We start from the raw sequence: 25,983 nt of genomic DNA, 5'->3' as shown, positions 1-25,983 counted from the left end.
TGGCAAAACCCTGTCTCAACTAAAAATACAAAAATTAGCCAGGCTTGGTGTCAGTTGCCTGTAATCCCAGCTACTTGGGAGGCTGAAGCGGAAGAATCACTTGAACCTGGGAGGTGGAGGTTGCAGTGAGCCAAGATTGCACCATTGCACTCCAGCCTGGACAACGAGAGGAAAAAAAAAAAAAAACTCACAACTTGCTTGAAAGGGATAATTCATTCTCCCTACCTTTACCCCAAATATGCATGTATACATGCCATGTTTTCTGAAAAGGAATGATGTTTGTTATTTCTCTATTGGTGGAGATAAGCCTTGTTCTGGCATTCCTGGCAAATGCTCAGGAAACAATGTCCTGGTTGTTTTTTAAAGGAGAGACTACTTCAGAAGGACTTGGGGAGAGAGATCTTTTGTACGATTTCTCTTGGAAGATGGGGATGGAGGCTGCAGCAAGGCAGACTTTCAGAGAGAAGAGTATGGCACAAACCCCGCATGGGAAAGACCAACTCCTCATCCTGTGCATCATTTGTACCTTCAGCCCGGTCAGGCCCAGAAAGACTGCATATCCAGTGCAAGCTGGTGGAGATGCAGCCTTTGGTTTCATAAAGCACAGGGTGTTTTGCTCATTCATATTTGGGGGCAAGAGCTTGTGCATTTTTTGGCAGCCATAAACCTTGCCATATGCTGATAGAGAGAGTGAGGGTTGAATTAACACGCTGCCTCATCTTTTGGTGGATCACAGCTGAGTCATATCCATTTTGACACTCAGAGAATATAAATAGAAAGATTTTGGGGACAGAAATGAGAAATCTATACATCTTGGACTTTTTCAAGTTCTTCTGGCTAGCATGTGCTGTTTTCCTTAGCAGACTTGCCCATGATGAAACAAAGTCAGAGAAAGAACAGCCTTTGCTCAAACTTTTGAATGTCTTTGATACATTAGATTGGAAAAGACTGTTTGAAAGATAGGGAACAAATATGTTTTATTTCATTGAACTATGTGTGTGTCCTGAGCCAGTAGTGGCAAGAAGGGGGAGAAGCCTATGGATGATGCACGTAAGATTAAAATCCTGCAGGGTTTTTCCCCATCCTGGTGCCTTCACAACCTCAAGTATGGGGAAGCCAGAGTCATGCAGTGATTTATGCACCAGGAATCCAAGCTCAGAAAGCATGCAGGCATAAGGCCAGGCACTGGTGATTTCTGCTATTTTGCACTCCATGGTTTCTTGAGAAAATGGTACGTCACTCTGTTTGTTTTCTTGCTGTTCTTCTGAGGTGGAATGGAACATAAAGCTTCAACATGTTTTGTACCAAAATGGTTATACTAAAGAGGTCTGGCATATAGTTATCCTAAAGGGGGCTGCCCAAGAGGAGGAAGAAGTGACCAGCAATGTCTCATTAGCAGCCATAGACCTGGGAGACTCAACATGTCAAATATGTCAACAAACATTTCCTGAGTAGTCACTAGAATAGCATCCATTTAAAAGGCATAGTTTCTGCCCTGAGGAGCTTATAATATGTGGGGAGCAGGGTAAGAGATAAATACTTAATAAGCAGAAGATAGTAAAACTAAAGACAAGCAAGGCAGAGGCTTTCTAGAAGTTTGCTAGAATAGAAGTAGAGATAGGAAAACTCACAAGGCCATTTAGACTCAAGAGTAGCCTTCCCTCTGGAGGTCTAATTTAATTAGCACTATCACTGGGCAATTACTAAAATTATTCATCAAGGGATGGAATTTAAAACCTTCGAAAAAAGAGGGGTGGGAGTACATGTGTATATGTGAGAGAAAGAGAATGAGAGAAGAGAAAGGAAAGGAGAGAAGAGAAAGAGAAAGGAGGAGGGAAGATTAGGGAGGCAAAGAAAGGACAAGAGAGAGCGGAGGAGGGGAGAAGGGATCCCTAACCTAGATTGAATCCCCCAATGCTCAAAACCACTGAGCACTTTCTACTCTCAGAATTGTTAAAGTCACTGTCATCCACAAATGCTTTTAAGATTTTGAAATATATGAGAAACATTTAATGTGCTTCACAGAATAAGCTAGATAAAAACGGTCCTTACACTGCAACTGCTGGCACTCCCCTGGGCTGTCTGATGGTACGAAGTTTTGAGCACACACACGGATGATAACAAGCCTGTAAGGCTTGTCAAGAAACTTGACTTTTCAGGTGTTTGAATAAAGAAGACAGCATATTTTTGTATTCATCTCGGTTAACAGATATAAAAGATTAATTATGTCATTAAGTAGTATATAATTTTCAAGCACATTTAATGTCACTGCATATTTACAGTAATTTTCAAAGGAATTTTGCATCATTATATTATTCCCACAACAAGATTTTTTAAATGTTTTTCTGAAATTCTATAGTTCTAAGAAGAGCTCTATGTACCTTCTTGGAGCTTCATCCCAACGTCAATTTAGGAAGAAGCGTAGCTAATGTTAAAACTCTACACGCATGGGTTTACATTTAGACACCTGCATTCTCTCTGTCCATCTGTCTCTCCCTCTCTTTCACAGATTTGAGACACAGGAACTAAAACTGGACCAAGGCTCCTAGTAAGGATCACAGAATAGAAGTATTTTGGTTCAATTCCCCTCCCAAAAGACATATAAAAGTTTAAAAGAATGGAAAATTAAAAAATTTACAATCCCACCTTCTTTAGTGAAAGTAGGATACAGCCACAACTCTCAACCTCAGTTTCTGAGGATTGGATGCTAAGCAGAGTGAAAGTGGGACCTAACTGAGGGAAGGCATAAGAATAGCCACAAGCCTCTATAGATTTCTGGTAGGATATGGAGTTCTCCAAAAGGGGTGGCCCAGCAATTGCCTGATAGAAGTGTCAGGGCCTGGAACTGTGGGCAGGGCCCGAAAGCCTCCCTGTGTCCAGTTCCAGGTTGTGGAGCATTTGGCAAGGCTGCCTGATACTTAGCATACAATGTGTCCATATAACAGAGAGGAGGTCCCGCCCTCTGGCTGCAGAAGGAGCACCAGTGGAGGTTGGGTTTATAGCAGTGACTCCATGCCTGCTGGTAAACAGTTCTCAGCCAAAGATGATTCCACATCCCAAGGAGGCATTTGGCAATATCTGAAGATATTTTTATTTGCCACAACAGGTATCAAGTGGGTAAAGGCATAGAGGCCAAAGATGTTCTAAACATCTAAAAGTTGCAGAACTTTCCCTTGGATTATACAGCCCCAAATCTTAATAGTGCCAGGGTTAGGAAGCTCTCTGATCTTGGACAAATCTCTTAACTTTTCTTAGCCTTAATGTCCTACTCTGAAGAATGGGACTAATAAATAGCTTCTTGATTGAGTTGTTAGGCTGATTAATTCAGACACATGATTTATATGAAGCAATATTTTGCACAGTGCTTGACACGTTGTAAGTATTCAATAAATGTTGGCAACTATTGCTTCTCTCTCTCTCTCTCCTCTTCTCTCTCTCTCTCTTTAAGCAAGTATAAGTACATTTGCTTGGCTCTATGTCCTATAGCCCATCCTTGACACTATTCTGCCTTCACAAACACCTTTAGCAGAATTCTCAGTTCTCCAGCACTTTCTAAGGGTAGCCTACCTCACTGGTGACAATTCTTTGAGAAATGTGCTAAACGTGTGCAGTTAGGACAAGGGAAGTTGGATTCAACTGATTGGTCCAGCACACTACTCTGATTTTTGGAATAAAGATCATAACCCACCATTCCAGCTTTACATAACCAAACCAGAATAAAACCCAGGCCAGCTAAACCCTTGGATAATTAATTGTTCTTGGGTATGTTTCTGGATCATTGAAAATTTGAATGTGTAAGCACCAACATTTCTATTTTAAACATTTGTAGAAAATATTCCTAAGATGAATTATAAATTTCTCTGTATTTTTAACGAGTATATTCAACAGTTTAAGCTTTCCTTCATGACTCAAGATCATTACTACTAACATCAATTATTACACATGCTTTACCACAGTGGTGGCCTCAGGATCTGCTGAAGTTTGTTAGCTCTTTATCCACATGCTAAATAGATCAAGGGCGCTGCGCTTTCTTATCTTTTGTTTACACTAATTAACAAGGGTTTGTTTTCCTGCTGAATTCTTTGTTTTAACATTTCTAACTGGCTGTTCTTCATACATTAGCATAATGCCAAGGGTGGATCCGAAATTTTAGGGAACTGAAGCTCAGACAATTGTTGGTTGTTGGGAGGAGGGACTCTTAAAAAAAAATACAAAATTACAAATACAAAATTAGATACCAAATTGGACAGTGGGCATATTCCTGGAAGACATTCCTACTCTGGTTACGCTAGCAATAATTTAATAATACACAGAAGTAACTATAAAATATACATATATATTCCAACAAACCCTAATTGACTTCTACTTAGCTAGAGCTCAAAAAACGCCTACAGCCTCTTCAATGCCATCTGACATGAGGTGATGTGTGCTGGAGGGCAAGTCAGAGTGGCAGCAGGCAGTCTGAACCAATTGTGGTTAAGATATCTTACCTTTGGAAATTTTACAAAACCGTGTGACCTAGTGAACACGTTAGTGGGTCACTTACTGTGGACCTGCCTTCCTAATAGTCTGATGCAGTATTACTCTCTTCTGAACTAAAAACCCAAAGCCAACCTTGACAGAGTTTTACATGAATTAAGAAAGAAAAGGCTCAGAATAAAGACTGACGTACCTACTTGGAATAAAGCAAAGAGCCTTGCATGCATAGAGTTTGAGACATATGCATAAAATGTCTCTTTGGCTTATCTCTTATTTCTAGCTGTGCTTCACCAGGTGAGGAAAAATGAGCCAATCTCTTAGAGTCATTCTTTCCCCCAAAAAATCTTTATGTTCTTTCACTGGAGCAAGATTCCTGATTCCTATACAGTGATGTATTTACTAAACAGAGACCTATACAGAAATTACATACTATCCATCTACATAGGTTGTTACACTTTTGCCTGTTGGTGGGATAGTTCCATTTATCAAGTTTTATACATCAAAAAGCTTTGAATTTCACCAGATTGTCCATTAATTCTCCTCTGAAAAAGTGGCATTTAATTTCAGCTATTATACTTTAACAACATTAAAAAGCTTCCGCATTACGCTTCTTCTCTGCAAAATGGCATTGAGCAGACAGAGCTGAGTCCATTACCCCACCCAGATTTATATAGTCATATTTGAACAACTTTACACCAGAGAGCTGGGACAGTTACTCCTAATTAACACAGACTTCTTACTCTGAGAGCCCATCTTCTTGGCCACATTTTACATAGCCAGTGAAGACATGCCAGCAACTGCCCTATATATAGCTTGGCATTAAAGCACCAGGTCTATTTGATGGTAGTGGCAGGCACTATTACTTTATATCCCGGTAAAAGGCAAATTTTAAAAACTGCCACCTGGAGATTAAAAATCAAGGGCACAACGTTCTGAGAACTGAGTATTGAGCATTCTGGTATCCCAAATGATGTGAATATTATCAGAAACCAATGGCGAATGGTACCCATGTTTCCCAGCTAGGGAGATATTAACAGAATGATTCAAATCCCATTACTAAATCCACATAGCCCTGAGGTTTTCCTGTAAAGTGTGTATCAAAAAATATGAAGTTAGGGTGACAAAGTTTGACAGTGATGTTATACAAGTCAAACTTGGAAGGTCATAGTAAGCATATCTATGCTGAGAGAAAAGCATCAAATCCTTTGTGTACACATTTAGTTGTATCGTAACAAAGCAACTTGTACACTTTTAACCTTTAAAACTGAGCATCATCTTTCCTTTCCTTCCAGTGAAACAAAAAGAAAATTTAAAAATAAACAGGAACAAAATTACGATAGAGAATGTCAATTCCAAATAAGATCCTACAGGTTCTGCTGATTCTCCCATTGAGTGGCAGGGCTCAAGTCATCATTCAGAGAGAATTTATTTTAAAAGTGTCATCTTAAACTGTAAGGATGTCTGTCAAATATCACAATTGAACATGCCAAAGCAGAAGCCATGCTGTCAAAATGCCCACTTAACCCAAACATCTCCAACCCACCCTTTGCACCTTCTATAACTCCATTTTTTAAAGTGTTTTTGTCTTTTTTTAAACAAGAGAAAGTAGACAGATGCATGTTGGGAAATGCTAACTGTGCATATTCACATAGAGACATGGTGTACTCTCTGAGCCCAAGGTACAGAGAAAGGAGAAAAGAAGCTAGAATTCTGTGCACTGCTACACAGAGGCCTCACAACTTCCAGCTTCCAGCAGAGCAAAGGGAACAGGTTTTTCTTTTTTCCCACAGAGTTCAGTGGTGTTGATTCTGTACAGTTTTTGTTCAGACAGGAAAGGATAAAAATGAATTTTGAACAGAAAGGGGTAGAGACACTTTTTCCATTGTATTCTGCTCAAGGTATTTCTCCCAAAATAAGTTGAGAACCATGGTGTAGAGAAAAGAGATCTCAAGAACAGGGCGACTGAGCACAAGAGGAAAAAAAAGGGAAAAAGGAAGACTGCAACTTGCTCCCAGGGATTGGAGAAAATTTTTTAAAAAAGAAAGTTGGGGCCGGGAGCGGTGGCTCACGCCTGTAATCCCAGCACTTTGAGAGGCCGAGGCGGGCGGATCACAAGTTCAGGAGATTGAGGCCATCCTGGCTAACACGGTGAAATCCCGTCTCTACTAAAAATACAAAAAATTAGCCGGGTGTGGTGGTGCTTGCCTGTAGTCCCAGCTACTCGGGAGGCTGAGGCAGGAGAATCGCTTGAACCCGGCAGGCGGAGGTTGCAGTGAGCCGAGATCGCGCCACTGCACTCCAGCTTGGGCGACAGAGCGAGACTCCATCCCAAAAGGAGACAGACTCTTTGCAGGAACATGGATGAAGTTGGAAACCGTCATTCTCAGCAAACTATCACAAGGACAGATAACCAAACACTGCATGTTCTCACTCATAGGTGGGAGTCGAACAATGAGAACACATGGAAACAGGGCAGGGAACATCACACACCGGGGCCTGTCGGGGGGTGGGGGCCCGGGGGAGGGATAGCATTAGGAGAAATACCTAATGTAAATGATGAGTTGATGGGTGCAGCAAACCAACATGGCAATGTATACCTATGTAACAAACTTGCACGTTGTGCACATGTATCCCAGAACTTAAGTATAATAATTTAAAAAAGAAGGTTGGAATCCATCAGTGTTCTGTTAGTCATCTTCTCCTTCATCCTCCTCTCCCTCCCCTTCATCATCATCTTCTTCTTCTTCACCTTCATCCTCATCCCCTTCTTCATCAATACCTTCTAATCCTTTCTCCTCTTCTTCATCATCATCTTCTCCTTCTCCTTCTTCATCTTCATCATCATCTTCTCCTTCTCCTTCTTCATCTTCATCATCATCTTCTCCTTCTCCTTCTTCATCATCCATATCGGAAACCAAGTAGTACTGTAATAGGTTTGGCCAAATATCATCTTTGATGACCTCTCCTAACTCATTAGCCCCTACATCAGAATGGTCAGTAAACCAGGTAAAAAACTCTCTAGTTCCGCATGCTGCTTCTTCCTGCTGGCTTTATTCTGTGTTTAACTTGAATGTTTTGTCAAATCCTTTCCAGATTTCCATTTGATTTCAGTGGACTTTGAAGATGGATCACCTCTCTCATTCAGATGAAATTCTTTGGAGAGAATTTTATTTCCAAAGTAAGGATTTTCATCAAAATAAAAATCTATTCAGCAATTTGATTTAATGTCATCAAATTCCATCACTTCGACTCTGGTCAAGTAATGCACTGCCTCTTCGTCCTCCTCCCCAAGCAGTGCAGACACTTTTGGATGGTTAACAAATGTTGTTACCCAAAAATCTGGGATTTTGGCAATCAATTCTGACCTCTTCTGAGAAAATTATTTACGGAGTTTGTTATATTTCTGTTCTACTTTCAAAATCTCCTCACTGGCTTGTTCATTAAGTCTGTCTATTTCATTTCGTACTTTATCAATGTGTTCAATTGCTTCTTGCTCTTCTTCTCCCTTCTTCAGTAAGCCTGCAGAAGTCAATGTCTTCTCTGGTCTCAGGGCAGGAGGTGGTCTTGGTTTCTTCACTTGAGGTGGGAGTGGAGACAGGTGTTTGGGGGCCATGTGGCTAAGGAAGTCCAAGAACCAGACCACAGGTCTCCTCGCTCATCAGGAAGCAGGCAAAAAACTCAGGGTCATTTTTTAAGAGCATTTTCTTAATATGAATAATCTTTTTTAGTTGACATTTAATAATTGTACATATTTATGGAGTACAGTGTGATATTTCAATACCTGTATACAATGCACAATGATCAAATCAAGGTAATTAGTGTCACCTCAAACATTTTTTGTGTTGAGAACATTCAAAGTTCTCTCTTGTAGCCATTTTAAAATATTAAATAAATAATAACTATCATCACCCCACAGTGCTATAGAACACTAGAACTTACTCCTCTTATCTAGCTGTAATTTCATATTGGTTAAAAAATCCTTTCCTTATCTCCCCTTCCCTCTACCCTTCCCAGGTTCTAGTTAGCACTATTTAGTAATAGTTTTGAATATGATTTAAGTTAAAGTAACCATGATCATCTGTAGTTTGTACTGTTTTCAGTAGTAAAAATTCAAGACTTGGACTCTTAAGGTTTCTAATAAAAAGCAAATGTTTACTTGTACTTCCCTTTGTTCCTCTTTACCAGTTATTTCTTTTTAATGTTTACACTTCGTTTCTTTTTTTTTTTTTTTAAATAGAGATGGGATTTCGCCATGTTGCCCAGGCCAGGCTGGTCTCGAACTCTTGGGCTCAAGTGATCCTCCCACCTCAGCCTTCCAAAGTGCTAGGATTATAGGCATGAGCCACTATGCCCAGCCTAATTTTTAAATTTTGAAATAATTTTGGACTTAGAGAAAAGCTGCAAAGTTCAGAGATCCCTGATATGCTTTACCCAGTTTTCTTGACCACATCTTATATAGTCTTAGTAAGATGATCAAAACCAGGAAATTGACATTGATACAATACCACTAACTAATCCGTAGACGCTGTTGAAATAATTTTGCCAGTTTTCCCACTAATGTCTTTTTTACTGGTACGATCCAGGATTCCACATTGTATTCGGTTGTCATGTGTCCTAAGTGTTCTCTAATTTGTGACAGACAGCACCTTAGTCTTTTTTGTCTCCCACAACAGTGACACTTTTGAAGCCTACTAGCCAGTTATTTTGAAAAATCTCCCTAGACTTTGATCTGATAATTTCTCATGATTATACTTTTTTGCAAGAATAACGTAGAGGAGATGTTGTGCCCTTCTCAGTGTCCCATATCAAGAAATACACAATATTAGGTGATATTAACTTTGATGACTTGGGTAAGGTGATGCATGCCAGGTTTTTCTACCAAAAAGACATTTTTTTCCCTTTGTAATAATTAGGAGAAAATTTAAGACTATGCAAATAGTCTTATTTCTTCATTAATTTTAGTGCCCAATGATGGTTCTTATCTGAACATTTATTGCTATTTGCCTAAGAATAATTTTTATTTAAATAATTTCCTCTACATTTATTAATCAGAATCCTACTGTAAGAAAGAATTGTCCTTTCTCAATTACTCATGTCAATTTAGAGCCATAGATACTTATTACAATTTTTTAATTGTTGTTGCTCAAATTGTCCCAATTTTTACTACAAAAGGAACCCCTTCAAGTTTCTTACATTCTTTCAGCATGTCCCCATCAGTTTTTGAGTACTTCCTTACCTTCTGGCATCACAAGATGTTCCAGACTAATCTTATCATTTCACTGGCTCAATCCTGGAGTCAACCAATTCTACAAGGAACCCTGGTTCCTTTTATTGAAGAATGGCATTTAACAACCAAAATATAGGTGGTAGACATGCTCATTGCTACTGGGATGTCATGAGGTATAGAAAATATGTGTCTGTATATTACATATGTATATATACATCTACATTTACTTCTTTATGCCACCTGTGTACATAATAAAAATCATGAGTTTACGCTGATACCTCCTATTCTAACACTATAGGGTTTATTCTAGCTTCCTCCCCCTTCCTTATTTTTAACTTATTTCTTCTACTTGAGAAATGGGGCTCTCATTATTCACAATGTTTTTATTTATTTGTTCAGTCCTAGTAGATATGTAGCTTCAGAATTGCTAAAGCATATCCCTATGAGTATTTACCAAATAGATTAAGATATTTGCGTACAGTTCGTTTTATAATACTTGCATACAGTAGTCTTTGGTGCTATAGTATATAGTCAAAATACTATTTCCAATGCTACTTTTCTTACTGTTGTGTTCTATTTGGGGTTCCCCCAGCATCTGGGTTGAATTTAATTAATTATAATGGGAGAGGGGGACATTCCCATAGTTCTAAGAGTCAGCGCTATATAGTAAAGGCATATTCAGAAAAGTACTGCTCACACCTTGCTTCTACCACTCTGTTCTCATTTCCCATTCTTTCCACCCTGTTTCCATCTACCCTCTGTAGGTAACCAATCTCGTTACTCCTGGCTTATTTTTTCTGTATATTATTCCCCGTCGGGTTAGCAAAAATTAATAAATTTTACAACACGTTCCGTTAGTGAAGCTATATGTAAATAGGCATAGCATACTTAGGCACAAATGAGCAGATATGTATTTAGTATGATATGAGCTTTTAGTATTCCATTTTTTCTCACATCAAGCATAGTATACTACACATATTCTTTGCATTTTACTTTTCTCACTTAAAAGTATGTCCGGGAAAATCACTACCTATTATTTCAGAGAGATTTTCCTCATTTTTTTTACAGATATATAGTACTCCATGTATAAATGAACCATGGTTTTATTCAATCATTCTTCTATCTGTAGGCATTTAGACTGATTCCAATATTTTGCAATTACAAATCATGCTTCAATGAACAATCTTGTATATATGTACTGTCATATCATTGGAAGTGAATTTTGGGCTAGATTTCTAAAATGAGATTTCTGAGTCAAACAGTAAACGCACATGTAGCTTTGTAAAGTAATGTCAAATTTCACTTTTAAAAGGTTGTACCAGCTTGACATCCTACCAGAAATGCATGTAACAGAATGTGTTGTAAAATTTATTAATTTTTGCCAGCCTGACAGGCAAGAAATCGTATCTCAGTGTTGTTTTAATTGTATTCCTCTAATTATGAGTGAGTGTGAACAAGTTTCATGTTTAAGGGCCATTTCTATTTCATTTGCTGTGAATTGTCTGCTCACGAAAGCAAAGCCAGCAACAGAAATGGACAGGAAACTTTCACATCTGGCTCCCAGGATAGGCCCTGCCCCCTGGATTGAGCTCCATGGAGACCTTAGACTTGCCTGCTTTCTCAGCCCTATTCATACACCCAGCACCCAGGGCAGACAGAATTCTATTCCTCCCAGAGGTGGTCCGTGACCTCAGTACTGCAGTTTGGTTGGTGTCTTAACCAAGCTCAATGGTCTGAGTATTCAGGGTTACGGTTATTTTTAGGTTTCCTGTGACAATAAAAAACATTTTCTGCAGATGCTTAAAAGTAAGCCCTGTGTTTGGTGTAGAAATCACAAAGTTAACAATTAACATGGGCCCTGGGTATCTTCACATTTGAGTGTCAGGCATTGGTCCTCATGTTTCATACTGGGAAAAGTCAATCAACTCACCATTTGGCAAAGGTCAAAGCAGGGGACTGACCTTATGACTGATGATTCTGTGTTCCAGACCACTGTGAATTCCTCTACCTGTTTGCAAAAGAAAAAGGGAATTTTCCTGAGTTTCAGTTGAATTAATCACATTTAACAGCTCTTCAGAGGAAAAAAAAAATCAATCTTGTAAATTACAAGTACTGCCAGGGGAGCCTTACATTAGGCATCACTTCCATGTATATAGTCAGACCAGAATGAAGCTGGATTTGATCCCTTGAGGTTGAACTGTCACCAAAGGCAGCATTTCCGCTACTCTCTATCTTTTCAATAATGTAAATAAAGAACTGGATCAATCTGAACAACAGAGTCATTACTGTATCTTAATTCAATGTTTTCTGCTATTAATACATCTTGTCTTCTTTTGATTCTCTAACTCAAAAGAGCTTGTCGTTATGTGTTATTTGTTTAATTTAGTACCATTATCAAATTAAATAAGGAAGTATCTTCCTTTGCTTGTAGTCTCCAGGGCTGGAAGGGAAGTAATGCAGTAACTGTACAAGCCTTATTTAGCTCACACAGCTCAATGGTACCCTTGCAAAGTGGGTGACTTTAAAAGGGATACTTTCTTTCCACATGAGCAATCTCATCAAGAACTCTTTTAGCCTGACACCTAAAAGCTGCTCTACTTGCATATGACCTCTATTTGTTAGTTACATGGGATTAAGGAAAATTGATCTATCCTTAGGGTCCCCTTTACCCTAAACTGCTCATAAATTCATCTATAATTTGGAAAAAATAAATAAAGGGAAAATAGCTAAGGGGAGTCTATCACCAACTTCAGGTAAAATTCAAGGTCTTGTTTGTATTACCAGCTCTATTTCTGTATACCTAAATCTATGATGTTTCAGTTATGGACCACGAACTATAAACTCAAGTTCACTTTCACTGCAACATTGGTTAAGAAGGAGGTGCTGTCAATGCAGGCATTAATCATCTCAAGAACATTCAGAGTATGAAATGGTTTCCCTGACTTTGATGTAAACAAAAATGTTTCAAACTTTTCCCTTTCTGTACCGGGTAGTACTGTGGGTGACTTTTCTGGAGTCTTTTTAGGAGAGATAGAATGAGTTGAAAACATATCAATTTGCATGTTTTATGGAAAACAATTTCTGTTAGAGCCACTGGCATACTAAAATTACTCAATACTGACTGAAATAAGGAGTCTATTTTAGAAGGACTTCCAGCTTGGGTGACCAGTTTCCTGTTTGCAAACTTTGAAAATCTCTTATCGGGGCAATGGCTTAACCATTAATAAGAAAAACACAGTCCCCTTCTCTAATTCTGCAATTGCCTTGTTGAACTTGGCCATCCACAGGTATGATGGCTCACTGCCCATTAAGGCATTTTGACACTCTTCTGGGTATATATAGAAAACAATAACCTCAATTGTCTAAAAACAGAGAGACTTTAAAATCAGCATATACATATCCTCATAAACACACACACACAGTCTTCTGCACACATACATACTCCATACATGAATAGCAATGTCCTTACTAACATATTAAATATCCCTTTCAGTTCTTCTGTCTTTAGCGGTTCCCATTTCAGAGCCACACCACAGATTCTTTGTGTCCTAAGTCCATAAGAAGCATCCCAAGCATTCTTGCAAGCCCTGTGGCTCGGCTCATGCAACTGGGAATAAAAGATCCCTTGAATACAAATGGTAATGCTCATGCTAGCAGCTGCCACCCAAGGGTAGCAAACACCATGCAGTTCATGTTTTGTACTGCTGCTTTTTGTTCTGAGTGAAAGATGAGAGATATGTTCTCACTGGGGAATTCTTTGGTTCTGATTTAAGCGGGGAGAAGAACAGAGGGTTTTTTTTGTTGTTTTTTGTTTTTTTTTTTATGATTCCCTGTGGCATGTAGAGTTTGACCTTGACTTTTTAACTACCACGAACACATGAACTTCTACCCCAGATTATGCCTAAACTTTCAAAATAAAGGAATTAAAAAAAACAACTCCAATTTGCGTGGAGCTACTACTTTCAGCTTTCAAAATCCTGTAAGGTGTATTGTTAACAGCAGTGGGTTAGATCTTCTGCTATTAGTGGAGGCCAGAAAAGAATACTTTGGGAAAGGTCAGCAGTACTTAACAGGAGCTGAAGGAAGTGAGCAACTATATTTAAAGACTTAGGATGGAGTATGGTTTCACTTTACACACAAAGAACTCTTTCTTTCGGCTTTTAACGTTGAGGTGGATAAATTCTGAAAACTCACAGAGGGATTTGTTGTTGACTTGTAAATCCAAACTTACATGTCATGAATTTCATTACTCTATCTCTCATTCCCCGGAACAGCCCATGGCATTGAACATCTTTTGCCTGGCATAATCACATGGAACACAAAGCCTCTACTGAATCTTATGGAATGAAAGAATGCATGTTGAATTCAATTTTATTTCTTTTTCTTTCTTCTTGAGCTTCATGCATTTAAAATGGGCGTACATCCTCAGAAAGTCAAGTGCCTGAGGATGTTACTAGTGATGTAGACATAACTTTTTGCCCCAAGGTGGTGGGTATAAATCTAGACTGAGTCAGGGCAATCAAGAGGAAATTGATGAGTTGTGTGTTTTCTGTGAAAAGAATTTCTCCCCATTGATAGTTACTATTCAACATCCTTACAATGTCTCAAAGTCCCACAAGTGAAAGGGAACTGAGAGACAAGTAATCTAACTTCCTTATTTTATAAATATTAAAAATAAGATGGGGAAAATATACATGACTTGCCCAAGATCATAGAGGTAGTAATGTCAAAGCTGGGACTTTGTCAAGTTTTCCTCACTCCTGTCCAGTGCTTGGTCTCTTTTAAAAGCCCACGACACTTAATTGAATGTTAAATGGGGGAAACGGATCATTCTGTCCAAACGCATGAGATGTCCTTAGCCACATAAAAGTAGTTTACTTAGGGAGCCATCATACCTGTGCTCGACAAAGTTCAATGAGGGAATTGCAGAATTAGAGAAGAAAATGGTTTGGTAATGTGTGGATAAAGGGCTAGAGGGAAACAAACAAACAAAAAAAAATCTTCATGACTACCCAGGTGAAACTGTTTTTGAACGGCTGGGTTGCACATTAGAATCACCTGGGGGAGAGTTCTGATTATCTACTGCTGCATAACAAACCACAACAAAATTTAGTAGCTGAAAACAACAGCCATTTCATGAGAGCTCACAATTTTGAGGAAGAGGAATTGGAGCAAGTCTTAACCAGGTGATTCTTCTGCTCCTTGTGGTGTCAATTGGGATTAGTCGGTGGCATTTAGCTGGCAGCTGAACTGGTTTGGAGAATCAAAGATGACTTCACACACATGCTTTATTCACATGCTTGGTGCCTTGATAGGAACAAATGGGAATTTGAGCTCACCTGTTCTCTTCTCTTTTCTCTTCTCCTCTTCTCTTCCCTTTTCTTTTCTCTCCCCTCTCTCTCCCACCCTCTCTCTCCCCTCTCTCTCCCACCCTCTCTCTCCCCTCTGTCTCTCACCCTCTCTCTCCCCCTCTGTCTCTCCCCTTCTCTCTCTCTCCCCCTCTCTCTCTCCATGTAGCCTCAGGGAATATCTTCATAGTCTTCACATATGGCAAAGGTAGCTTGGGGCTCAAGAAACTGATAGAAACTGCCATTCTTTTTAAGGACCAGGCTTAGTGTTACTTCTGCCATTCTCTATTGGCAAAAGCAGTCAGGCAGCCCAGACCCACAAGGATTGGAAATAAATCCCACCTCCTAGTGGGAGAGGTATCAAAGAATTTGTAGCCATCTTTAATCTGCTGTAGCCCATCCTCTAGCCCCTAATTATTTATATTCCTGCCACATTCAAAGTTCACTCACCCTCTCCCACAACCCCCAAGATTCTCATCTCATTACAGCAACAGGCTCAGACTGGAGGTCCAGGATCGCATTTTCTAAATCATGTCTTGGTGCATATGAAGCTATCAGGTATGTTTCTTTAAATACAGTTCCTCTTCATCTGAAGACTTGTAACCTGGAGACTGGAGTTGTCTGCTCCATATACGCAGCATATAATGACCACACTGAGATCATTGCAGTAGACACTCAAGTTCAAAAGTGGGAGGGGCACAACGGGAATCACAGAAGTCACTTGTACATGGCAATTCTGAAATAGTTGGGCACGTGACACCAATTCCTTCATTCAAGCCCTGATTTAATTGGGTCGGGTGGGGGGCAGCCTGGGCACTGATAGTTTGTATTGGCTCCCCAGGTGATTCTAATGCATAGTCAGGGTTGGAATCACTGACCTAGGAAGTTCACCTGGCACCTTTAGTGTTCAAAGAAAAAGGAAAATACTCACTTGAAAAGTTTGAGTATGTCCTAAAGTGTGTTCTCATTTCACTTTGAGTCTTTTTTAAAATGTAGATTCTTCCCACAGCCCAGACTTACTGAACCCAAACTCCTTTTAACAAGCCTCCACCTCCCAAAACGATTCCCGTGCCACAAAAAGTTCACATCCACTGGATGTACCTCTTTGTAAAAATGTAGTTATATTTTGTGAATTTTTAAAGAATGTGGTAGTATTGTACATCCGTTGTTTGCTGGTCAATGTTTAACAACCAGGTCTTTGGGGAAGAAAAATCTTTGATGTATAGTGGGTGCCAATTTCTGTGGTGTAGATACTCCCACCATGGCTGCTTTCAAGTTCAGCGCAACATCAGAAAGCTTGCAAACTTCCTGAAAATGTACAATTACCTTTCACAAGACAGCACAAGCTAACAAGTATACCACTGCATGCTCACTTATGTTCACATCTCTATACGAAGTGGAAAACACGGGAACAGCATGTTTGAAGTAAGGCTGTCTTAGGTAAAAATCCTAATTCTGCAACTTATAGCCAACACGTGACCCATGACAAATTTGTTTTCTTCTCTAAGTCTCAATGTTTGCATAAGTAAAATGGGGATGACAATACTAGCACTACTTCAGGGGTTAAGTTTTCCCATTTCTTTTCAATCACATATTCCCAAAGTTCTATGTGCTTCTCCTCCCATAAGGTTCTTCATACATTCATAATTTAATTGTGTGCCTTCCTCAAATGCCTGAGCTATGTGAAGCCAAATTGTACCTCTTTCTTTTGGACCCATATGCACGGTGATCAGCAAAGTGGCTGGCATATGCCAAATAAATAATGTATTGCTCCACTCCCTCCTCCTGCATGCATGGCAGACAACAGTAACAGGTCATGACACTTGTATACAAGAGGATAAATAATTTGAGGAAAATGTGCTCTAGGGAACTTCCCCACAGTTGGAACTAGCCCATGAGATAAACCGATTTTCCACCTTGCTATAAGTTCTGCTAATAAAAGGTCCTGAGCCTCAAGGAAAAAAATAATATACCTACTAGGTCTCAGAAAGCAATTATTTTAACTTTACCATTTCAATAGGACTTAGACTCTCATATCTGATGAGGAGGGGAGAAAAGAAAGTTAAAGAAAAATTGGTAACTGTTCCATTTTCCAGTAGGCTAATTCCAATCCAGATCTATTTTCTTGTGGTCATTTTGGGCTCAGGCAAATTCTGCTCTGTCAGCTCTAAGCTAATGCAGTGGGGTGAAACAATAGGAGGTGAAGCCAGGGATCAGGCCCCATCCCATTCCTCACAACAGCCTGCGAGCCAGGGTCCTCACTGCCACTTCAAGGTCTAATAAGGAAGGTAGCAGAGAAGCTTGGAGTTCAAGAGAAAGTTCTCCACACTAGGTGAGCCCTCTCTGAGAAGAGAACGAGAAGGGTCTTAAACTCTGCACTCTCTGTTCCACTCCCCCCATCTCACGGTACCTGGCATCTCTTATCCTACTTAGTGTAGCTGATCTGCATTCAAGGTTATACATTACTTGTGTATTCATTCAGCAAATATTTATTAAGTCCAAATTTTCTAGGCATTGAGTAAATAAAGTGCAAAAATACATATAGTCTTCTCTGTTGAGAAGTTTGCCATCCACTTAGGAAAATAGAGGGTATATTAAAAAAACTATAGTACAAGGTAGAAAGTCATGTGTTGTAAGTGAACACAGACAAAAGTAGAGACTTCTGAGAGAGCGGGGTCTAATTCTAGTGGGGAGTGGGGCTTGCAGGTGGATGGGAAGGACACACAGACGCGGGCACAGTCAGAGAGTGCAAATGGTGAGGCTGAGACACCACGTGACTAGGTGGAGGATCTGGAGGGGATGGAATGGAAAACACAATCAGGATATCTTGATTGCCAGGCTAAGTTCCAAGAGAAGTAGAAGGTTTTTGAATATAACTAACGATTATGACAAACACTTCAAGAAAAAGTCACCAAGCAGTAATGGTGACAGAGACAACAGGGGGAATCAATAAAATGGGATATTTGTTAGGAAACCATTACAAGAATCCAAAAATGAGGGCCCATGTTGAACAAGATTGTTAACAATTATGAGACTGGATTTGGAGAGCATGAAAGAGGAAAAAATATATAAAGTTCAGGGCAGGGTGGCCAGGAAGATCCATCCACTCATTCAGCACATAATCACTGTGCTTTTGCTATGTGCCAGGCATCACACTCAAGAGTATTCAGTGCTGAAAAAAACAGACTTCATCCCTGCCAGGCGGAGCATAGAGGATAGTCAGGAAATCAGACTAGAGACAAGAAAAGATGAAACAATTACAAGTGTAGTTGGAAGTGTCATGATGGAAGTTCACAGAGTGACAGGAGAGGACAAGAGGAGAGACCTACTCAGAGAGGGTGGTCTGGGGTAGGTTATCTGTGCAGGCAACATTCTGCTGATCCTAGAGGGATGAGGAGACTGCAGCCATACACAGAATGTGGCTGAGACAGGGAAAGGGGACACATTTTAGGAAGAAGAGGCTGTGTGGAAAAGACCCTGAGACCTGAACAGGGGGAAGTGATAGAACAGAATATGAGAACTGGAAAAGAGAAGGTGAGTTTGAGACATATTACAGATGAGGAGCCAGTGGGCGCCCAGAAGAAGATATCAAGCAGTTGCTGACAAGCTCAGAAGAGAGGATCACCTGCATGGAGGTGGTCATTTGGCAGGGTTTTCCAAGGAGAGGGATGGAAGATGTATGGACACACAAGACACAGGATATATGGACATACAAATAGAATCCTGGGGCGTGCAGGGTCAGTCCTGGGAATCCTCAGGGGGTCACAGGTCCAGCTTGTGAACCGAGGTGGTGGAGAATAAAGAGCCCTTCAGGGGCTCAAGGACGAGGATAATCAGGGAGGGAGCCAAGACCAGGGCAGGGAATGAGATTGGGTGGCAGCATCCAGCCCAGCCAAAGTCCCGTCCATTGCCCAACAGCATGGGCAGCATTGCTTGGTGCCAGTGAGGGCAGAGGATGGAGCCTGGGGAGACAAAAGGAGGAAAGGGCTGGGGGCAAATGCTGCCCGAGCTGAAGTGGATGCAATGGCCCTGGTGGTAAAGAACCATGACCCGGAATTCCCTGTCTCAGCTGTTTTGTATGAAAGCTAGTCCTGCCCAAGTCAAAATGCACCATGTGTTCACAGGAACTGCTGACCTTTTGTCCTCTTGTGAGTGACTAGAGCAGAGTTAGAGAAGGGAGTTGATCTGGAGAAATCTACAACTAAATTAATGGCTCAGAAAAGATAAAAGTGTGATAACAGCTGCTTTTTCTCACACTTCTTTCCCCTTCTTGGAGACCTTTTCTTTTCCCATAAGCTTTGTTGATTGTTGCTAAATAGCCATACAATACACACCAACTTTTTTACATCTGCAAGAATGAGAGACAGAAATTCCTCTTTGGAACGCTGTTTCAGACAACAACAAAGCCACAGGGAGGAGTTTAGCTGCAGTGATGCTGTGGGACTCCCTGAAGAGGGGGATGTACCAAAAGCCACATCTCCTTAGAAGAGAGGACATTTTCTGGGATATATTTGGGTATCCACAGGAGGCTAACAAAAATGGTTGTATTTAAATGCCTTTCAGCGGAAGCGTCCTGATTCACAGCCTTTAATTTCTGTAGTCTCTGTAGCTTTAAAAGGCACTCTCTACCTTCACAATGAAGATCAACGATATGAATTTAAAGGATTTGCTTTTGCCATGGTTTTCACTTGTGCTCTTGATAATTCTTATAGAATCTCAAGAAAACAGTTTCAGTAAATGCTTGGTTTGTCTGTATCCACTTGTGAACTTGGGTGGTCATCTCAGTACAGGTTCTGTCATCCAATGAAGCAAAAGTGTCCCATTTCCACATTTCTGCTGATCTCATCGGTGGCTTTTACCTTCTACTTCCCCTTTAACTATTGTTCTTTCACACCCGAGAGGATGAGAAAGAAAATGCAGCAGTCTTTTTCTTCAACACCTCATCAAGGCTTATGTACCTTGCTAATAAAATGATCACTATGCAGTTTGAGCCTAATCAATTACTGCCCAATTTTTCAGTTGCCTAAACCATATGACATACAATTTACTGTTGTATATACAATGCTCAAATGCAATACTCTTTCATTCACACATTATTTCACATACACAAGTTCTTTCTCAAGGTTGTAGACATTTTGTATTCAAGAATTATACATTTTACTTCCTAAATTTTCCTATATCAAGCCCCAGGAGACTGCTAGATACATAGCCACTTACAGTAACAGCCCAGCTCTCCAGATGTAAGGAACCTTATTACTAAAGCCCTAAGAAGTGTGGAGTAAGGATGAAAAGGGGGGACAAAAATGTCAGATAAATAGATGAAACTGGTAAAATTCTGCTGATACAAAAGAAATAGGAGTGTGGTCAGAATCACGCTCTGGTTCAGTGAGATGACAGGGACAAGCTGCAGAACCTTCCGGAGAGTCCTGGCACATGGGAGCAGGACAGCTTGTCTAGAAGAGTATGGGACAGGGGAGTTTAACCACCTGGGCCAGTGTCCATTAAAGGGTGAGAAGGAGAAGACAGAAAGTTGCTCTAAAGTGAAAAAAGAAGGGGTGAGCCATCTCAGGAGCTCAGTTCCTGTCCCAAGGCAAATGCTACTGGTCATAGTAACACCACCATGCAAAAGAGCCTAAGACTTAGAGTCTACATGAAGAAGTAGCTACACGCAAGCTGAGAAGAAGCCCCTTTCCAAGACAAGGGGACTTTCAGGCCTGGAAGGCTGCAGTGCGTGGATCCTTCAGACAGTGACAGACGGGTGCCCCCATGTAAGGAAATGGCCAGGGAGGCTCTGCCGTGAGAACTAGAAGCTTGGAGACTTGTGAGATGTGGGGAAGGAAATGAATCCTAGAAAGGACTGGTTTATTTTGATCTTATAAAGTGACCATATCCTGAGACTTATGTGCTGAAACAGACAGAATAAGCTACGCAACTACAGAATCTCAGTGGCCTAGCACAACAAAGGTTTCTAGCTCATTCACACTACAGTCCAAAGCAGGCTGGCAGAAGTCAGCTTGCCGTACCACTTAGGAAGCCAGGCTGGGGAAGACTTCCATGTTCATGTGGTGGTGGAAAAGGAAAGATGCGAATAGCATACTGGCTCTTGAGGCTTCCTCCCAGAGTGACATACATCACTTCTGCTCACATCTCATTGGTCAAGGCAAACCATGTGACCATGCCTAACTTCAAAAGGGCAGTGAAGTACAATCCTACCATGTTTCTAGAGGGCAATATTTGTGAACAGCACTAACAACTTCATCCTATCCCAGGGCACAACCTCCTTACCCAAAGGGTGTTGACCCACCTGTGCACCATAAAAAAGTCTTTTCTCCGGGAATGCAAATGGATTGAAAACTGATTTGCCTCCTTGACTTCAGGTCATCATTGAAATGTTTCCAAAATATGAAAAGAGTTCAATATAAATTTTTTTAAAACCTTACTAATCAATTTTATTGCAATAAATGATTAAATGGAAATTTCTCCTTGTATAATTATTCCCAGATCTTTTTAATTAAGTAGTTTCCTCCCTCTTGTCCTCTTTTACTTTACCCTGTTAATTTCCTTCATATAATTTTTTATTTGTAATCATTCAATTTGTAATCAATATTGTATTGATTTATTGGTTTATTTATCAGTCATGTACTTGTTTATTAAGGAATTTTCAATAAATTAGTTTAATTTTTTTCCTAATTATAGCAAAGAAAACTTAAAATACATAAATATCATTTCCTAAATACCATTTGCCATTCTTGGCCCATTACATAATAAGTGCTCAATAAAGCATTACTGTTGCTACTGTTGATGATGATGATAATGGTAAGTAAGGGGGAAAGTCTTTTCAAAGGCCATTTTGTGAAATAACAACCGGAACTATGTCAATACACCCTGAATTAATTCAGGGAACAATTTCGGCTTTATGATGATGATATATATTTTAAATGGGTAAATTGTATTATGGTATATAAATTACATCTCAATAAAGCTGTTATAAAAAAGGTTTTAAGAAAAGAAATAAAAAAGGGAAGTGAGCCTCAGGGAACCTTAGTAACTCTCCTAAGTTTGGAGGGCCAAGGGCTGGAGGTGAGAAACAGCTGTGAGATGGATGAGGCTAGCTCCCCTGAACCCTACTTCCTATGGCAGATCCGCAGCATGACCCAGAAGCTTTACACAGATGGTGTGGGGCCAAGTGCCACCAGAGCAAGGGGAAAGTCTGCAGGCCTGGGCTGCCTTCCTCATGCTGTGGGACTCTTCCTGATGTGTGGGCCAACGATGTTTAAAACCTGGTCTCCTGTGCAGCAGCTTTACCAAACTCAGGGCAGAGACTGCCTGGAAATAGACCAGCTGGGGTTCACCATGGCCCTAGTCTTTGGCCATTCTGCCCAGCTTGCTCTATCATGACACAGATGTGTCACTTCAATTATAGTGCTCTATTTTAAGATCAGAGAGGAGGTTCCCTATAGCACTCAGGCTCTTACGGTTCTTTTGCTATACAATTCTTAATAGCTTCTAATTGATTTGCCTCCAGGAAGTTCCTTATATCCAGAACCACACCCAGATTTCTTTCCTAGACACAATTGTCAAGCCTAATTTATTTTGTTCTCACTCAACTCTTTTCCACTCTTTTTTTAACTCAATGGCGGTGATTTGCAGAGGCTTGGGACAGAACACCACACCCTTAATGAAGTCTTGGCCTTAGGACTGAGTCTTGAAGGGCTTTAACTTCTCAAAATCTTTTTTCAACTTATTTTCCTGCTGCTTTCAATCCAGTGGCAGTCAGCTTTTCCTACTTCTCAATCCTCAGATTCCTGAACCCTGTTTTCTTTCATTTCTGCTTTTGAGCTGGTCAGTTTTTGCTTAAGTGCTGTCTCCTAAAGCCTTGCAAAATGTAGCTGCTGTCAACACACATACAGTACAGTTGTCCCTCAGTATCTGTAGGGGATTGGTTCCAAGACTGTCATGGATACCAAAATCTATGGATGCTCAAGTCTTGAATATAAAAACAGCCGGCACAGTGGCTCACGTCTGTAATCCCATTACTTTGGGAGACTGAGGGGGTGGATCACTTGAGCTCAGGAGTTCAAGACCAGCCTGGCCAACATGGTGAAACCCGTCTCTACTAAAAACACACAAAAAAATTAGCTAGGTGTGGTGGGGCACACCTGTAGTCCCAGCTAATCGGGAGGCTGAGGCAGAAGAATCACTTGAACCGGGAGGCAGAGGCTGCAGTGAGTGGAGATTGTGCCACTGCACTCCAGTCTGGGTGACAGAGCGAGACTCCATTCAAAACAATAATAAAATAAAATAAAATGGTACCGTATTTGCATATAACCTACACACATCACCCTTTATACTTTAAATCATATCTAGATTACTATGATACCTAATACAATGTAAATGCTATGTAAATAGCTGTTTCACTGTATTGTTTAGGGAATGATAAGGAAAAAGTCTGTTCATGTTCAGTACAAATGCAAGCATCCATTTTTTTCCAAGTATTTTTGATATGTGGTTGGTTGAATCCATGGATGAGGAACTCACAGATGTGGAGGGCCAAGTGTACTAACATTCTTTTATTCCATTTCTTTCCTTAGAACTATAAGCCCAATAAGCATTTTGTCTAACTTAAAAGTTATCACTGACATTTTCCCAAATGTTTTGCCATTACTAGTCATAAGTCTCCATCCCTCTAACCCTCAATATCAGTTTTCTGGCTGCCTGCTCTCCAACTATGAAGACAGTACTGTATGTTTTAGTTTTTGTTGTTATAGTGCCCAAATTTTTTAACCACGTCTTGCATTAGTTCATATTAGCTGCTGTGACAATAGTAGTAGAGTGACTTTACATAATAGAAGTATATTTCTCTCTCATATACAGTCTTTGTTCCATGCAGTTATTCAGGGACTCTGAGAGATAAAGGATCTGTTACTTTATCTGTGACAAGGTTGCCTTGGGCCTTGACATGCAGACCAAAGAGCACATGCCTGGGAAGTGAATGTGCTTCACTTTCACGATATTTTATTAGCCAGAACTCAGTCGCACCTAAAAAGCGCAGGAAGTCACATGACTACACCTAACGAGGGCAGGAAGTCACATGACCACACCTAACGAGGGCAGGAAGTCCCATGACCACACCTAACGAGGGCAGGAAGTCCCATGACCACACCTAACAAGGGCAGGAAGTCACATGACTGTACCTAGCAAGGGCAGGAAGTCACGTGACTATACCAAATGAGGGAAGGAAGTCACATGAGTACACCTAACAAGAGAAGGAACTCACATGGCCACACCTAACAACACAAGAGATTGTAGACCTTTGTGGGTATTCTTTGAAAGAAAATCAAATAAGCTTGGAGATGGCTAGACAGTGTCTGAACTCATTCTACTAATTTCAGAGACTTTCAGATAGGTCTTCTGAAAGGAAATTAAATCTTGGGACCCCAAACTCATTAAGCCAAGTGGAAAAGTCAAGCTGGGAACTGGATCACACAAACCTGCCTCCCTCATTTGGTTCCTAAAGAAGATTGTTACAAGAGGAAAAGCTACATGCCTCCCCCATATTTTGCCCACAAGGAAATTCCTAGTGACCTGTAAGATCTTTTAAGGTGTTTCTGTTAAAATTTGACCATGGCAGCTGGGCATGGTGGCTAATGCCTGTAATCCCAGCACTTTGGAATTACAGGCAGGCAGATCACGAGGTCAAGAAATTGAGACCATCCTGGCCAAGATGGTGAAACCCCATCTCTATTAAAAATACAAAAATTAGTCCAAGATGGCCAAATAGGAACAGCTCCAGTCTGCAGCTCCCAGTGTGACTGACACAGAAGACTGGTGATTTGTGCATTTCCAACTGAGGTACCTGGTTCGTCTCACGGGGACTGGTTGGACAGTGGGCACAGCCCACAGAGGGTGATCTGAAGCAGGGCGGGGCATCACCTCACACAGGAAGCGTAAGGAGTTGGGGGATCTCCCTTTCCTAGCCAAGGGAAGCCATGAGAGATGGTACCTGGAAAAACAGGACACTCCCACCCAAATACTGTGCTTTTCCAATGGTTTTAGTGAATGGCACACCAGGAGATTATATCCCGTGCCTGGCTTGGTGGATCCCAAGCCCACAGAGCCTTGCTTACTTCTAGCGCAGCAGTCTGAGATCAACCTGCAAGGCAGCAGCCTGGCAGGGGGAGGGGCATCCGCCATTGCTGAGGCTTAAGTAGGTAAACAAAGTGGCCATGGAAGCTCAAACTGGGTGGACCCCACCACAGCTCAGCAAGGCCAGCTGCCTCTGTAGTCTCTGCCGCTGGGAGCAGGGCATAGCTGAATAAAAGGCAACAGAAGCTTCTCCAGACTTAAACGTCCCTGTCTGACAGCTCTGAAGAGAGCAGTGGTTCTCCCAGCACAGTGTTTGAGCTCAGAGAATGGACAGACTGCTTCCTCAAGTGGGTCCGTGACCCCCGTGTAGCCTAACTGGGAGAGACCTCCCAGTAGGGGCCGACTGACACCTCATACAGGCAGGTGCCCCTCTGGGATGAAGCTTCCAGAGGAAGGATCAGGCAGCAATACTTGCTGTTCTGCAATATTTGCTGTTCTGCAGCCTCTACTGGTGATACCCAGGCAAATAGGGTCTGGAGTAGACTTCCAGGAAACTCCAACAGACCTGCAGCTGAGGGACCTGAGTGCTGGAAGGAAAACTAACAAACGGAAAGGAACAGCATCAACATCAGCAAAAAGGACATCCACACCAAAACCCCATGATGATGGTCACCAACATCAAAGACCAAAGGTAGATAAAACCACAAAGATGGGGAGAAACCAGAGCAGAAAAGCTGAAAATTCTAAAAACCAGAGAGCCTCTTCTCCTCCAAAGGATTGCAGCTCCTCACCAGCAATGGAACAAAGCTGGATGGAGAATGATTTTGACAAGCTGACAGGAGT

The 25,983-nt window shown here is 40.9% G+C and overlaps 1 protein-coding gene and 1 pseudogene across 5 annotated transcripts in view; both read right to left on the bottom strand.

The window, feature by feature from the left end:
* Positions 1 to 25,983, bottom strand: part of FRMD6 (FERM domain containing 6) — a 334,297-nt gene that overhangs the window by 286,598 nt on the left and 21,716 nt on the right. For 3 of the 5 annotated variants that reach the window (XM_047430926.1, XM_047430921.1, XM_047430932.1), the window contains exon 2: positions 11,668 to 11,714. The gene's annotated coding sequence lies outside the window, so the exon portion shown is untranslated. Of the gene's footprint in view, positions 1 to 11,636; positions 11,715 to 25,983 lie in introns of all 5 variants that reach the window. The other 2 variants (XM_047430922.1, XM_047430931.1) reach the window with 1 other exon arrangement.
* Positions 4,817 to 7,980, bottom strand: SETP2 (SET pseudogene 2; annotated as a pseudogene).

The sequence above is a fragment of the Homo sapiens genome, chromosome 14 (assembly GCF_000001405.40).
Source record: "Homo sapiens chromosome 14, GRCh38.p14 Primary Assembly".
NCBI lineage: Eukaryota > Metazoa > Chordata > Mammalia > Primates > Hominidae > Homo > Homo sapiens.
The sequence above is the reverse complement of the archived record's forward strand: the minus strand, read 5'-3'. Positions and strand labels throughout refer to the sequence as shown.